Genomic DNA, 17,397 nt, shown 5'->3' with positions numbered 1-17,397 from the left:
GATACCCAGAAGATTACAATGTGCAATAAATTTTGGAAACAACTTCCCTAATGTTTTCATTAACTTAACTAAGACTCCCTAAAGATAGGTACCAACAGGCAAGTATTAGTGAGCAGCTTAGGGGATGAAGTTAAAAAATTAAGAGTCTGGAAAGATGGAAAGTCAAGTGGTTAAAAGCAGGATGTAACTATTTTTGCACTGCTACTATAATGTAGTTGGAAAAGTTATGCATTTTATCTAAATCACAGTATATTTTTATTGTTCTATAACTAGATAATGTTCTATAATATGGACTGATTCTCTAAGGCATTTAAGTTAGACATCCATAGATTTCAGAAAATAATTTGAATCTTTTCCTAGCCTAGGAACTTATCTCTTCTAAAGTTATAATGGTGCTCTGTGTGAGGAGTTAATTTCAGTATTTCAAAAAGCCTACAGAAAATTATAATTTTACCCAGAATCTCCTAGACACCATCTAGTTAACCACTAACTTCTTTGCTTTAGCCTGGAAATGTCAGAGCCAGGCAGTCATTCTGGTTATCCCAGGTTCATTGGAAGCTCTAACGTCAGTTACATATGCCTTAGATATTTTAAAAAAGAAGATACTTAACTGGCAAAATATTTTTTAAAAGGAGTCAAGAACGTTGGAATAATGTTGGAAACACAGGTTTAGTAAACAAACATCTCGTTAATTAAATGTTTGCTCTTAGCATAAGTGCTATTTTGGAAGCTACGTATTTGACACAAGAAATTTTATCTCATCCCACTTCTCGATTGAATGTGATTTCAATTTAGCTCTGAGTTACACAGTCTAACTTCGATCGCCAGGATCTCTAGGGACCCTAAAGAATGATTCATTCCTGCTGGCCTTTTGTACACAGAACTAATTCTTGGTTTTCATCCTGGAGCAGGGAATTACTGGACCTCCAGGAGACCCAGGCCCAAAGGGGTTTCAAGGCAATAAGGTAATCTTACCCTTTGATTAAAGACAGGCAGAGTGCCTTTCCCCTAGTGCGCTATAGTAATGTATGTTTTATTAGGTAAAAGTCAATGGATTCTTTGAGGAAGTACCTTTGGAAATGCATAATAACCTGCAGATGTATACAGAGAATTAAGTCCTAATGCATTCAGGAAGTTAGCAGCATACCTTTATCATTTATTATTATGTTATTCAAAGAGGGATATTGTTAACTATAAGCCATTATCTAGAATCTTTGCTGTGTTTCCTTCTTACTCCTGACTTTTATTTATTTTATGGCTCATTAGAAACCAAAAAGCAATAACAAGTGACACAATTCAAACCACTCTATTTCTCAAATGTAATGCCACCTCAATATACACTTTATAGGGGAAGGAAATTTACAGTTGTTATACCAACAGAAATCAAGCTTTTTTTAATTACAGGGAAATCTCAACCATCAGCACCATGCTTGTAGTATCAGTCCACAGATAACCAGCCAAGACAAATAGGGAGGGGTTGAATACAAGCCACGCAGAACAAAAAGATGCAGATGGGAGGGATCTTTAAAGGCCTGGTTATAAGGCTCTCTTTTCCAATGAGAGTGACCATTAATTTGCTAAAACAAGCTGTTTAGTTCCTTTTTAACTCTTCTCAAAGCTTAGTAAATTTCACGGATATAGTAAATATCCAGTAAATGGTGTCGACTTAGTGATTTGAGTGGTATGGAATTTATGGCAGTAATAAAAGCAGAAGATGCCATCCTCAACTGACCCTAAAGAAAGCCAGCTTTTTAAGGGTGATATTAAACTGAAGTTGTAGGGAGCAGTTGGGCTACTTGAGAGAGAGGAAAGAGAGTGACAGTATAATATTTTTAATGAGATAATGACAGTGTGTGATTTACCAGGCCACTTTGAATTGGCAAATTAAAATAGAATGGGCTTCTCAGCAGGCATGTGCTTAGGCTTCAACTGGGGAAACTGTCTTTTTCACTTCTTGCCTATGATTAATTCTCTCTGGGGAAAGAAATGGCCTTGTTGAATACTGATGAGCAGAAGTTTTGATAAAATTGCATTGGCTACAGGTACAATCCTACAGTAAGAAAAAAATATATATTTTGACAGACCACACAATTTTTAGAATTCTTTGATTACCTAAGATGACAATTTTCATGTTTGTGAGAAAGAGGCTTACAGTCAGGGATCAGAGCTGGGGTTTGCAGTATGATGGAATTATAGAATGTTTGAGCCACTAGGGATGTTAGAGATCATACTGGCTTAGCATTTTCATTTTGGAAATGAGAAACAAAGCCTGGAGATCAAATGGCTTGCCTGAGGCAGAGTCCCAGTGAGGTCCCATCATCTGTGGAGGGCACTGAGGTGGTGCTGGCCTGGAAATAGTGCCTGCAGCTTTGGGTGATGCAGGTCGTGGCTGGCAGTTGTGGTGGTATGGTAGGGAATGGTCCATAAAAAGGTGTTCCTCCTCCTCCTTTTCTTCTTCTTCTTCTCTCTCTCTTTTTTAGAGATAGGATGTTGCTCTGTTCCCCCAGCTGGAGTACAGTGGCATGATCATAACCAACTGCAACTTGAATTCCTGGGCTCAAGTGATTCTCCTGCCTCAGCCTCCAAAATAGCTAGGACTAGAGGCACATACCACTGTGCCTGGCTAAATTATAATTTTTTTTTTTGTAGAGATGGGCTCTCGCTTTGTTGCCCAGTTGAGTCTGGAATGCCTGGCCTCAAGGAATCCTCCTGCCTTGGCCTCCCAAAGAGTTGAGACTACAAGTGTGAGCCACCATACCTGGCTCAACTCTTTATGTCTAATAGTGTTATCACTTAGGGTTAAAAACATATTTCAATAAAATTTGGCCTTTAATTTCAGCAGTGCATTAAGTTTTAATAATGCATCAAGTATGTTTTGGGGGGGTTGGTTATAATTTTTCTGACATAATAGCACTTTGTGGTTGACTTTTACAGCATAATCATAAAAGGAGTCATTTTTCCAAAAGCATTTGAGGACTTCATCAATTTCCCAAGGGCCTCTCTTTTGTAAAATATACATGACATGAAATTGCCACTTAAGTTTTAAGCACAAAGTTCACTGCCAAGTGAACAAAGTTCATTGCCAATCAAAAAGCTGTCAATTTCTAGATAATGTTGGGGATCGCTCGGAGTCTATGAAGTGGGCATGAGTTCCCCCTTTTCTTTCTAGTCATAGTTCTGGTTTAAGGTCTGTACTCTTACTTTGACACTATTACTAACTTCTATATAATTTCTACTGCTCTTTGGATCTGTTAGCTGGAGATTCATGTCATATTGGTCATTAGCTATTTTTTTCATTTTATACACTTATTAGTGTACTGTCATAAAAGTCAGTTTTCAGGGAATGATTTCATCTTGCCTCCCAGAATGTACTATACTTTGAAGACATAATAAGCTATTTTTGTTCCTCAATCTGGAAATAATATTTTATAGTGACATTTATTTTTATCCATTATCATTTTATTAGACAATTTTAAAAGAAGCTGCTTTTGCAATTTGTGCAAAGAAACCCTCTAAAATTCAGTAATTCTGTATTCTCTAATGGGCACAAGGAAGATTATTTATTTTGAAACTTGTACAGTACCTAACATTTATTTATTGTATATTTATTATGTATAAGTAAAGTTTTAAGTGCTCATTTAATACTAATACCACCTTTTGAGACATGATCTATTCTTATTTCCATTGTACAGATTAGTCTACTAAGGCACAAAGAGTTTAAGCAATGGGTCCAAGTCTACAGAGCTAGTAAGGGACAGACTGAGTATTGAAACCCACAAGTCTGCTCTTAGCTACCATATTATATTTATCCCTTTAGGAAAAATTGCTGAATTTCCTGAATATTTGGCCTGAAATAAATGCATTTCTTTTTGACAGTGTGGAAGTTCTATCTGTCTTCCCTTCTGGTGGACTCTGGCTAGGGACAACAGTTTGTTGAAAGGTGCATTTCTCCTGGGTTTTAATCTTCATCTGAAAGTGCAGGAAAAAGGAAGGGAATATCACGCCTGTAATCCCAGCACTTTGGGAGGCCGAGGCGGGCGGATCACGAGGTCAGGAGATCGAGACCATCCTGGCTAACACGGTGAAACCCCGTCTCTACTAAAAATACAAAAAATTAGCCGGGCGTGGTAGCGGGCGCCTGTAGTCCCAGCTACTCGGGAGGCTGAGGCAGGAGAATGGCGTGAACCTGGGAGGCGGAGCTTGCAGTGAGCCGAGATCGCGCCACTGCACTCCAGCCTGGGCGACAGAGCAAGACTCCGTCTCAAAAAAAAAAAAAAAAAAAAAAAAGGAAGGGAATATCTTGGGAGAAAGAAAACGGTAATGCTAATTGTGCATTTTCAAATACTATATTTCATATAAGACCTTAAAATAGAAACCTTTAAACTTGCAACATTTGCAAAGATTCCACGAGAGGTTCTAGATAGGGCCTGCCTATGTCTATGAATTTACAAATGGTCTTTCTCTTGAATTACGCTCACTTTCTGTTGCTTTAGGGATTGGCTTTTCTTCATTAAAGGGTTTTCAGAAAAGGTGGCCAAAGAACAAAAGGAAAAAAATGCATGTGTTAAGTCAGGAAAAAATGTGCTCCTGGCCCATTTTCACAAATTATTTCTGTCAATAATACTTTCCACATGTAAAGTAGCTCCTAGTCTGCCCTGAATGACTTTGTTGCCTTAGCAACAAAACATAGATGTTTCTCAGAAAGAAGCCTTAGCTCAGAGTCCACCTCATCCTCTACCACACAGGAAGGTCATCTTGTGGCATTCATAAGAACATCTCAGCCAGGCGCAGTGGCTCACGCCTGTAATCCCAGCACTTTGGGAGGCCGAGGTAGGTGGATCACGAGGTCAGGAGTTCAAGACTCAAGACCAGCCTGGCCAAGATGGTGAAACCCCGTCTCTACTAACAGCACAAAAATTAGCCGGGCGTGGTGGCGGGCGCCTGTGATCCCAGCTACTCTGGAGGCTGAGGCAGAGCGTTGCCTGAACCCGGGAGGCAGAGGTTGCTGTGAGCCAAGATTGCACCACTGCACTCCAGCTGGGGTGACAGAGCGAGACTCTGTCTCAAAAGAAAAAAAACGGAACGTCTCAATAGTCTCGGAAATCAGTTAGAATTGTAATCACACAAGTGCCCAAGAAGCCTTATCCCTGAGACCAAACTGAAATTGTGACTCAGGAGACAGCGCTATGCTCTGAGGAAAGACTGAACCCCTAAAAACCCAACGCTGCTGCCTTCCATGGGGCTGTCATGGTGGCTCAGGTTGCAATCACATGTGACCCTTGAAAAAGGCCTTTAATTACTAGGAAGAATGGCTTATGATTGGTAGGCCTTTCAAGTCACAGAGGACAAGTTACCAAAACTAATTTTGAATAAATCAACACAGTGGAACACTGGGTTTGCCCAGCCTATATTAGGTAATTTTTGCCATTTTCTTGATGTCTTTCTGAGGTTATTTCTGAAGGGCATTTCCTTCTCAAATCTCATGCAAATCCACTCTTTCCAAGACTCTCTTTGTGCCTTGGGAGGAGGGACTGCACAGTGGCGTGTGCAGGAAGCAGCTGGTGACATTTCGAAGTACCCCAGCATTAGAGCTTCAAGGCCTAAAGGGCACAAGGAGATATCCCTCATGTTTTTTCCCAAGGGAAAGTACCATATGCTAATCCTCAAACAGTTAAAAAATACTGCAGTATTGTATATTTATCTTAAAAAATGAATTGCCTCCCTTCTCCTAACTCCTTCCATTGTTCTACTCTAGGACGTTCATAATATTCCTGCAGGATATTTGTCCTAAGTGTTTTCTTCTTGCTGTACAGTCAAGTGTAAGAAACTTAGCATTCTTTTACCTATGAGACTTGGTCTTACTTTATGTTCAATTTAAACTTCTGAGATATTAAGAAAATCCATAGAGAAATAGCACTAGACTGGCCCAGTTTAATAAATGGATATGGTCAGGGTAAATGACACAAACATTCATCCCAAATGGACAAAAGACCTACTGTTAGTGAATGAACTACAACCATGTTTGAAGAGGAGTTCGTTGCAGTGAGGGCGATGAGGGTAGTACATGATATATTTAGTTCACCCTGAAGCTTGCACCACACCACAGTTTTTGGATACCCTACTTTTCCGAACCCTACTTTTTCAAGCTTCCATCCCAGTTTCTGAGGTTCCCAAGCAAAGGATATATTTTTCAGGTTAATGATATACTAATGAGGAGATTCAGTAAACAAGAGCTAGATGTACAGACCCTGAACTTAAAACTGTAAGCATGCTAAACGTCCCTACACAACATCCTGTTTTCTTCAAAGTGTTCTATGAAAAAGGGTTTTGGTAAGAGGGCTGGCTGTCTTCCTTTCAGATATGATATTAGGAATGCATGTGTGGATATTTCTGGGAGCTGGAAGTGTGCTAATCAAGTTTCTCTCCTTTGAGCTTCCATGTATTATACCGTTAATCATTCCTAGTCTTCTTTCAGATAGGAACCATTGGCAGAAGAACTGGACAGATATGAGCAGGTCTATCACTATTTTTGAAAAGTCTAAATCAGAAGATTTGGGAACAATGGGTCAGGAACACCACTATCTGGGAGATTCAAAAATTCTGCTTTGCACACTAATTCACACACAGTTACATGAAGCAACAAGTATTTCTTGAATGAATGAGTGAATAAAAGGTTTTAAATGGCATGAGTGGTCAACAGTATCATACTGAAGACAGGTTATGTGGGCAGTTGCCTATGTGGTAACTTAATTTGGCAATATTGAGGTCATTGGGAAGATTCAAAAGAATAATTTCAGTAGAAGGGTCAAGGAGATGGCAATGAGTTGTGGAGCAAACCAGAGAGAAGGATGTAACAGTCGGGAACATTGACCATTCTTCTAACATAGTTGGGTAATAAAGACAAACAGGACAGTGTTGACATACCCCATCAAAAGCTTCCTGTGCATTAAACAATCCAATGTGTTACTTCTACTTTCTTCTAAAAGTGGCATGAAGACTTGGGGTTTAATTTGTATTTTTTACACTTTCTTGTGTACAACTTAGAGTCTTACATTTTCTATGCCAGTATTTTCGTTAGAATAGAAATCACTAATGAAGATTTAGTAGTTTTAAAAATACATTATTGTTTTGGTCATTATTTAAGTACTTGGTTTGGCTCAAAATTAGCTTAGTAGCTAGGTCAACCTACTAAACATAACTAATGTTTCCAGTTATGGGTTGGAAGTAGTTCAACATCACAAATATGAACAATTATAAAGAATTTTAAACTTTCTCCTCAAACAAGCATCTTGTGTAGATATATTTCAGTTCTTATATAAGTCAAAAACCTAACAATTTCCTAACATCATGATGTTGCTTTCAACCACTTAAAAAGTCATGATTTGTAACAGGATATAATTCCTTATAATTTATCACTTGAAGTGAAGTAAATCAAGTGAAAACATGTAGATTCCTACATTTCTTGGTAAAGAATAATTAATCAAACAAAAAACTGTTTTAAGTTCACAATTCTCTTAACAGAATGACTGTATTTTTGGCTTCATATAAACTATTTTAAGTGTAGGGTACTTGAACATGTCAGCTTTTCTAGTTGTCCAAAAACAGTAATTTGCTTTCTGGTTCTTCTGGCAGGACAACAATTTTGAACAAGGGTTGTGACTGCTCAGTGTATAGGAAGAATCCCTTTACAATTTTAATTATAAATAACTGTTAAATGAAGACTCATAGCCAAGCCGCCAAACGATGTGAACGTTTTTCCTTCAAAGACGTCAAAGTCTGAATGCTATTTCTGTTCTGGGCCTAATTAAAGGGAAAGAATCATTAGTAATCCAGCAATTCTTGCTGTAGAAAAGGCTTTGACCTACATGCACATCTGCCCACCAAGACTCTAAATGAGCTTATTAACTCGTTTGACATGAGACAACTGATAGTGACAACTTGAAGTGGCTGCCAGAACATGTGGGATGTCAGCCAATAGCTTCAAGGTAGATGATTTCTATTCCCAAATAGCTGATGCATGTGGTTCTCAGCAGATGGGGTATATATACTCTGTGTGTGTGTGTGTGTGCGTGTGTGTGTAGATTGTCAGGTAAAAGCTCTGATGGACCAAGGAACTGAAAATGCTGCCAACATTTCCCACAAAGTGGCTGAGTTTAAACTGCATGCATAGTCAAAGGGGGCACTAAAATGGAACAGAATCAGCCACTGCAGTGTCTTCAGAGGGATGTCAGAATGTTTTCTTTGTAATTACATCAATGTCCTTATTTATTTCAAGTAAGTTGCAATAGCAAGTTTGCAACAGAGAAAATTAATTGTATTCCAAGGGTGTTTTTATTGTGGTAAAATATATAATAACATAATATTTATTATTTGAACCATCTATAAGTATGTAATTCAGTGGTATTAAATACATTCACAGTGTTGTATAACCATCACCAGTATCTATACCCAAAAGTTTTTCATTGTCTCAACATAAACTCTGTACCCATTAACCAATAACTCCCCATGTTTCCCTCCTCCCAGCCTCCAAGGGTAAGTTTTGAAGAAACATTATCACGCTGTCATATACACCCATCTGCTCTCATAAATCAGTGGCCTTGTTTTTAGGTTAATGGAGCATGTCCACCCTGAATTTTTACCAGCAACTCATTTTGTGCTGGAGGATTCTAAACAGTGTCTTCTAGAGCTGCGATTCTCAAAAGCTCTCCTAATGGGCTGCTGACTGGTCCTTCCTTTCAGAGAAAATGACTTGCATTTTCTCAGATTTTGTTATATATAATGAAGTATGACTTTCCTATTAGTTGAAACACATGAATTGCCATGTTTGTAGGCCAAACATGATCAAATATTGTCAATTTTATGTGGTTAAACCTAATAGCATTCTAGAAGGTGAGTTAAGAGTTACTAAAATGTGGTTCAATATAATTTTTATTATATTCTTCACCAATTCATTGTTATTATGGAGTCTTTTTCTGCTTTAGAAAGCACAAGTACGTAGAGTATATGGACTGGACTTTCTCTCTTACCTAAATAGCTGGTATTCAAAAAAGATTTTAGTTGGAGATTTGACATAATAGTGGTTCCAAACTCAGTACAGTTCACTTACCAGTTTATATGTAGATTTACCTTGTGTGATCACAGTATTGCCAGTTATAATTTACATTACTTTTAACATTAAGTGACAACCAAGTAGACTTTATGTACCTGAAATAGCATGTGCATCAGCTTGGATAAATTATATTTCCCCTTGGCTTATATTTTATTTTAGAGATGCTTTGTCTTCATATGATGGATTTTCAGTTGTGAGTAGATTGTAATTATATGACTTTTGTATTTTTCATCCTGTAATAAAGATATGAATTTAGTCTGCAGTCATACAATTTTTGAAATACTTTAAAAGAAGAATTAAAAAGTTTCAAGAGGCAGTTTGGCATAGTGATTAAGATTTGGGTTTAACCTCAAACTGCTGGGTTTCAAACCCAGTCCTATATTTTATTGGCTCTATGATTTGGGCAAGTTACTTTACCTCCCTATGACTCAATCTTTTCATCCATGCAGTAAGTTAATAACAGTAACTACTTCTTAGAGCTGTGGTGAGGATTAAATGAGTTAATACACGTCAGTCACATAGAGCAGCACTTCTTGCATAGTAAGTGCCATATGTGTTGGTAATTTTAATTAAGTAGTTAAGCATTTTGACAACTTTATACTAATGTAGACCAAGTTTATTCTGGTAAATTTTCTAAAAACAAGCCTTTTATAACACAACACTTCCTCTGAAATGAGAAACTTGGTGCTAAAAATGGAGCTTGATTTAACAAGTACTTGATAAATATTGATCCTTCTTTCCTTCCTTCCTTCCTTCCTTCCTTCCTTCCTTCCTTTCTTCCTTCCTTTCTTCCTTCCTTTCTTCCTTCTTCCCTCCCTCCCTCCCTCCTTTCCTTCCTTCCTCTCTTTCCAAAAGGAGGCTTTCTTGACCTTTCTCCCAAGTCTCTGTATACAGTCATCACTTCACTGAGTTTCAGCTGAGAATGTATCCTGGCCATACTTGAACCATTCTGCACCTACAAAATGTTCATCCATCATTTTCTTCCATTTGAAAAGTATTAGAATATTTGCAATAAAACTTAAAATATTAAAGTTGGTCCCATGCATATCTGGGAAATGATTTTTAAAAGTTGCTAAAACATCTTTGTAATGTTAAGAAAATATGATAAAATTGTTCATAATTGTATTATCAAAAAAAGTGTAAAGTTCTGTCCACAAATAATTCAGTCTTGGATAACCATTTGTTATGTATTGTCTTAGAGAAATGAAGGATTTGCTTTTGGTTAGAATCAGTGCCAGGGATACGGAGTGTTAGTCGGTTTTCTCAGCTGAATTTTCCTCTTCATTGTGGTTTCATTACTCTTTCAGCTAAAAAAAAAGATTAATTGTGTCTGGGTGAATTGGTAGGAGAAATTGTGTAATAGGTACTTGATATCATTATGTAATTTATATACAGTTGCTCCTAGTTGAAAACCTAAGTGAACCACAGGGAACTGCAGAGGAGCATTTCTAGACCCACAGCTCCTCAGCCCAGAACAGCTTTCCAGTTTTGTTCACCTCCCACAGCTAGCAGAGCCCCTGCTCCCTAGTCAATGCTCAGTAAATGTCTGGTGCATGGATGATTGAGTGAATTATAGTAATGAGCTAAACACTGAGAATGCAAAGCTGAACAAAATCATATGCATCATCCCCACAGTCTAGTGGGGAGGAGATGGAGAACATTAAATGCAAAGTTGCAACTTGTAATGAATGCTCAGAAAAAAAAGGAAAACAGTGCTATCAATACTAAAATAGTGATTTCATCTTATCAGAAAAACCCTTCTTGAAGCCATGCTGCTTAAAATAAGATCTGAAGGGTAAGAATCACTATGAAAGAGAAAGGTAAGAGCATCCCAGACAGACAGAATAGACTGTGCAAAGATCCTGTGGCAGGAGGAGCAAGGCAAGTACAAGGAATTCAACAAAAGCCAATGTTGCTGGGGTGGGGAGTAAAGAGGTGACTGATGACAGATGGATTGGAGAGGCAGGGCCTTGTAAGGAGCTCTGTCTTTGGGAAAGGCCTCAGAAGGTTTTACTCAGATTAAAATTAAAATTAAAAAATTGCTCTGCAGCAATGGAGGGAATAAATTGGAGCATGCTAGAGTGGGTGCAAGTAGAGTACTAAGGGCTTTGTTGTACTCTGAACAAGAGGTATTATCAGTTTGCTGTAGACTGGAGACGCGTGGTAGAGGACTGAAGTGGATGGATTTGAGAGATATTTAGGAGGCATACTGATAGGTGTTGGGATGCGTTGCATATGGTGGCAGAGGGAGTGGGAGGTGTCATGAATGACCCCTAGGTTCCCATTTGACACAGGAGGGATTCTGGTGCCCTTCCCTGAGGTGGGAAGGGCTGGAAGATGACTATATTGGGGAGTGAAAGATGACAATTTATCTTTGGAAATGATGAGTCTCTTTTTGAAATTCTCTTTTTCCCCAACTCCCCACAAGACATCTTTGTATTCTTCCACTCCCACCTGACTTAAATGTTGGTACTGTTCATGGTACTGACCTGAGCCTTCAACCTCATTAATCACTCTAAACCGCAGTGCCCAATAAGGTAGCCACATGTGTCTACTGGGCATTTGAAATGTGGCTGGTCCAAATTGAGATGTGCTGTAAGTATAAGATACACATCAGATTTCAAAGACTTAGCATTAAAAGATGGTAAAAAAATAATTAATACTTTAAAAAGTGTTGATTACATGTCAAAATGATAATATTTTGTATTTATTAAGTAAAATTTATTAATTATAATTTACCTGTTTTTTTATTTCTTAATGTGGCTAGTAGAGAATTTAAAATTACAAATGTGGCTCGCTGTCTACTTGCATTGGACCATGCTGCTCCAGACAGTGGCCCTAGTGTCACCTTGTTTCCGGCCTGTTGGGCTCACGGGCTGCTGACCGTCTCTAGAATATTTAACACCATTTTAAGCCTCATGCTCTTTCTTCTTCTGTAACTTTTGTTTCTTTTCTTTTCCATCAGATTAGCTATGATTCCTACTTCTTTGTTTGGATCAAACATCTCCTCTACTATATGAAACTTTCCCAATTCCTTAAGGTAGAATTAAACATTTCTGCCTCAGAGTCTTATGTATTCTGTTAATATCTTTATTATGCTAATTCACATGCTTGTATTTTATTTTATATTGATTTGTCTCTCCAGCCAGATTGTAAGCTTCTGCAAAGTGCAGGTGCAATCTGATTTATGTCTGTGATTAGGTAACCTGATATTCAATTATAGACATAAATTGTTATTTACCTATTATTAGTTTGGTGCTCAAAAAAGGTCTGGTGAATAACAATTAAATCTATACATATTAAACAGGTGTTGTGTGACTGGTTATGACTTAGATGTTTTGCAGACAATATCTTGAATCCTCTCAACAATGCTACAAGGCAGATATAATTATCCTCATTTTGCATATGGAGATCTTGCAAAAGCTAAAATTGTTAGTAAATGATAGAACCAAGGTTCTACAAGACCAAATGATTCAAAGCCATGGTTTTTTCCCTGTGACTCCATGCATGAAGGGCTAGGTGTGGTGGCTTACACCTGTAATCCCAGCATTTTGGGAGGCCAAGACAGAACAATCATTTGAGGAAAGGAGTTCGAAAAAAAAACCCAAACCCCAAAATCTATTTCCTATGATTGTTAGAAGATTAAATGAGATAATGTATGTAACATGTCTGGGCAGTGCTGATAAATAGCAGGTTTTATTAAACATTGGCTTCCTGTCCTCTTGAAGCCCATAGTATGGGTGTTCTTAATTTCTGAAAAGGACAAAGGTGGTTTACCTAAACTTTTTGCTGCCTCCACACACGCTCACACTCACATTCACACACATTCACACTCACATGGAGGTAATGAGAAACATATTCTTTCTGGGGCTACTGATTTTAACCCAGACCTCTTTGTTATACTTGCCTGTTGGTAAATGGCTCTGATGGCAAATGAAAGTAAAGTAGAGAAATAATTACTGTGGGCATGCAATTTTTTGGGCATGCCATCTCTCTGTCTTTGTGTGTGTGTGTGTGTGTTGCTAAGGGCTGGGGTAGGAATATTAACAGGAAAGGAATCATGCCTGCCGTCTTACCAGGGCTATTCTGACTAGAGTGCTGACTCTTCCCTCCCTGTTTTGTTTTTACCCAGACAGCATATTTTAGAGTCAGGACCACTTTCTTTACTACCTCAGGAATCTCTGTAGGAAAGAAAAAGGGGAAATGGGAAGGGAATAAACATGAGCTATAGGCCAATACTGTTTTGTGGATCCTACCTTGAGATACCAGGCTCCCGAGAAATAAATTTAAGCAAGTGAAATGTGAAGCTACATTGCTAAGGGGCTGTGTTCAGGTAAAGGAGAGCAATCCCTCTGTAATCTTCAGATCCCTGCAACTGCCTTGTAAAGCAATATTAAGATATTGCTCAGCTGCTCTTGGTACTTGACTAAGGCTAAAGGGATTTCATGGGCTCAAGGTAAGAGAGCTGCTTCTACTCTTGATTCTCCTGATCCATACATTTCAAGGTAATGACCAAACCAATTTCTTGTCACCAACCTGGGCTCTTGGTTTGTTTCTGATCAAACATCAGATAAGTACCAAGTAGGGCAGAACTTCCACTACTCAAAAAATCCTCAAATTCTCTACCAAATATATAATTTAGATGCCTTCTGACCCATTACAGAACCAATGCTACATATAGAAGGGATAAAAAATGAATAGAATAAGTGAATTTAGGGCCTTGTATTGTTATTATTGTATTTTTTTTAGCCAGACAAATTCAGCAGTGGGTAGATATTATTATTGTATTTTTAATGGTATATATATATATATTATATATTAATGTTATATATATTATATAACATTATATATACCTGTTATATATGTATATATATTATATAACAGGTATATATAATGTTACATATATTATGTAACATATATATATAAATTCCATGGCTAAAAACATGTAAAATGAGAATGTCAGTCAACTGGCTGCTCAGAAAACTTAATCAATATAGAAAAACAAGTACAACCTTAGGAGTTTAAGGGAAAAAATATTTGCCAGACTGACTTGTACTCAACAGCATGCACAGTAAGTACTTTTGAATTCAATCCACTTAAATATCAAAGGATCATAAATGTGGATGACTCATTTTGAGGCAGGATTCCTTTGTTTTAAATCACCCTGAGCCTGGGCATATCTTCTGGGGAGCTGGTTTGACTCTGACCCTTCTTAGCCCTTCTGGTTCTCTTTCGCAATTGGTCAAAGTCAACAGACCTTTTTTTTTTTTTTTTTTTTTTTTTAACAGACGGAGTCTCACTCTGTTGCCAAAGCTGGAGTGTGGTGGCGTGACCTTGGCTCACTGCAACCTCTACCTCCCAGGTTCAAGCAATTCTCCTGCCTCAGCCTCCCGAGTAGCTGGGACTATAGGCACATGCCACCAGGCCCAGCTAATTTTTTTTTTTTTTTTTAGTATTTTTAGTAGACAGTGTTTCACCATGTTGGCCAGGCTGGTCTTGAACTCCTGACCTCAAGTGATTCACCTGCCTCGGCCTCCCAAAGTGCTGGGATTACAGGCATGAGCCACCACATCGGTTACAGACTTCTTATAGTAAAGCAATGTCTTTACTATATCCACAGAACATTGCTCTGGTCATTAGGTGTCCCTTCCAAAATCACAAGCTTCTGGGGTAAATTGAGACTTTAATATTTCTGAAAACTCCTTTATCTCCCTTCATCTCAGAGAAGGCTTGTTTCACTTTCCTGTTTCATTTTACTGTTGGTTAGTGAAAGCATGAAGAGAGAAACCTTTGGGTTGAATGAAATTTTTAATAGCAAATATTCATTAGCTGAAACATAAAGAGTGTTCAGCAATCTTCCTTAGCATAAATTAAAGGTACACGTGTGAATGTAAAAAACTGGAAGGAAATACACCGAAATTTTATAGTATTAATAGTTACAGATAGGTAATTTAAAATTTTCTTTGCATGCATGCTTTTTAATATATGACAATTTTCTACAATGAGACATATTATTTTGATAAACAGAAAAAAATAATATTATGAAATGGGTAATTGGGGTCAATAGCCACTCCCCTTCCCCTATCATCATGCCACAGGGCTTAAAGCCGGAGAGACCTAAAGAGCTGTAACTGTGTGAGTGGTATTCAGGTGTGAGTTTGGGCTGGCCAGGTAATCTCTCTGGGACTTGGGTTTCTCACCTGTGAAATGTAGGGGTTTGAGTGCAATGGTCACATCTAGTTCTAAAATGCCTGAATTCTATTATGGGCTTGCCACATCATAGGCTATTATTATTTCAAAATGCTCTGGCTTTGAGTAACAGAAATCTTGAATAATAGTGGCTTAAATCATGAGAACTCTTGCTGTTGAGTAAACAGAATATTTGAAGGCAGGTAGTCCAGGACTGGATCAGTTGCTCATTGAGGGTATCCAGGAGCCAGGCCTCTTCAGCAGCTGGCTTTTGTCCTAGAGATTGCTGCCTCATAGTTACAAGACAGTTATCACATCTCTATGTAGGAAAGAAGAGACAGAGGCAGTTTTCTCCTTTGCATCCAGTAAGGTCCTTCACATCTCGTTTGTCAGAATTGAGCCATGTGACCAACTGAGATGAATCAGTGACAAAGGGAAAGGAGATTCCCATCTTGCATTAGGCCAATGATCATTCATCCTACACCTCTGAGGGCAAAGAACAGCTGCCCACTGACTGACTCAATTGGGGGTTTATCAGCAGGGAAGGAAAGCTGAGAAAGGACAGCCGCAGGGGAGGAAACAAAATATGTCTTCCAGAGCACTTAAAGATTTGTGAATGAATGAGTGATGGCTGCGTTATGCCTTTTATGGATCCTGAAAACACTTGACTTTGTGGGCCCCTTCCTCCATAAACACATTAAAAAATTATATTTATGAATGCAAGCTGTATTCATTGTTATATAGTCATTATGTTTATTTTTATTTTGAATCAAAAAATTACAATTGGAACATATTTGCAGGCTCCTGAAAGTGTTGTGGACCCAGATATTGTGACTACTGTGCCTAGTGGATAATTTGATCTTGGGTCTGTGTTTTCTTTCCAAATGAGTTGTAAACAATTGAGGGCAGGCACGATGTACAGGTTTGTTGTTGCTCTGAAAGCCCCTATTGCAAAACCATACATCTAAAAGCTGCTTAGTCAATACTATTGAGTCGACCTAACATATAACTGATGTCACTATTTCTTCCTCCAGGGTGAGCCAGGTCCTCCTGGTCCTTATGGTTCTCCAGGAGCTCCTGGAATTGGACAGCAAGGTATTAAGGTAAAGATACTTGTCTTTTTGCCCACTGATGACTGTTGAATTTATTGTAGGGCCTGGGGGAGCCATGATTTGAACTCCATTTGGCCTAAATCCAATAGACACAAGGAGGCTTCCTGAAGTTACTTCATTTTATGTGCTTGGACACAGAAATGTGCTTGTCAGGGGCAGTTACCACAAGAATAATTAACGTATTTTTTAATTTTGTTGGAATGAAAAACTTACTTGTCTCCAAATACCCACCCTTTTGCCAAGGTACATGTAGTTCTGTTGTTTTCATGGACTTTAAACATTCACATGCAAATATGTTATTGGGAAGTGAAACAACTTAACACATCAACAATCATGGTTCACATTGAATAAGCATAAAGGGGCAGAAACCAGAAGGGCCATGGCAATGAATAGGTCAATGTTGGCAGAGAGATTTGTAGAGAACTAGAAAGGGAAGGAAGGAACGTCCATCCTGTGAGGCTGTACATTATGCAGGACATATTAATAAAGCAGAAGTGCCTATTTTGAATGGCTTTTCCAAGTGGTTGTGACAATAAGACTTTGATGCAGGATTAAAATAGCAAGCAGTACAAAACAGTGTACTTTGAATGTAATTGAATATCCCCATGTATAGCATTTCAACAATGAGCACATTGAGACTCCAGGAAAGGTGGAGTTTATGCTGGCAGAGTTATGGAGAAGTTTTCTGGAGGAGATGAAGTCTGAAAAGAGCTTAAAGGAGAGATGAATAGGATAGAGTGGGGACAAGGAAGGGGTGACATTCCTGGATGGTGGCAAGAGGGCAGGGCACAGCACACACATTGTCAGCTTAGTCAGCTCTGTAACCAACCTGCATTGCCACACAGTCTGTCCTGCCAATTCTTACACAATATTTTGTGAAAACTGAAAATACTGAATTACATTTGGACAAGAAGAGATAATAAACATTTTAGGGTAATTTGTTCACTTAAATTCGAGCTATTTCTCTTCCTCTAGAATTTTTTACCT

At 38.2% G+C, this 17,397-nt stretch overlaps 1 protein-coding gene across 12 annotated transcripts in view; it reads left to right on the top strand.

The window, feature by feature from the left end:
- Positions 1-17,397, top strand: part of COL28A1 (collagen type XXVIII alpha 1 chain) — a 205,677-nt gene that overhangs the window by 36,892 nt on the left and 151,388 nt on the right. For 11 of the 12 annotated variants that reach the window (XR_926936.4, XM_011515360.3, XM_011515358.4 and 8 more), the window contains exons 11-12: positions 912-965; positions 16,333-16,401. Coding sequence is in view for 10 of the 12 variants with exons in the window: in XM_011515360.3 (XP_011513662.1) it covers positions 912-965; positions 16,333-16,401 (123 nt within the window). In the remaining 2 variants the exon portion in view is untranslated. Of the gene's footprint in view, positions 1-911; positions 966-16,332; positions 16,402-17,212; positions 17,344-17,397 lie in introns of those variants that run through there. The other variant, XM_047420314.1, reaches the window with a different exon arrangement.

Source organism: Homo sapiens, chromosome 7 (genome assembly GCF_000001405.40).
Source record: "Homo sapiens chromosome 7, GRCh38.p14 Primary Assembly".
Classification (NCBI taxonomy): domain Eukaryota; kingdom Metazoa; phylum Chordata; class Mammalia; order Primates; family Hominidae; genus Homo; species Homo sapiens.
This window is presented reverse-complemented; position numbering and strand designations above follow the sequence as displayed.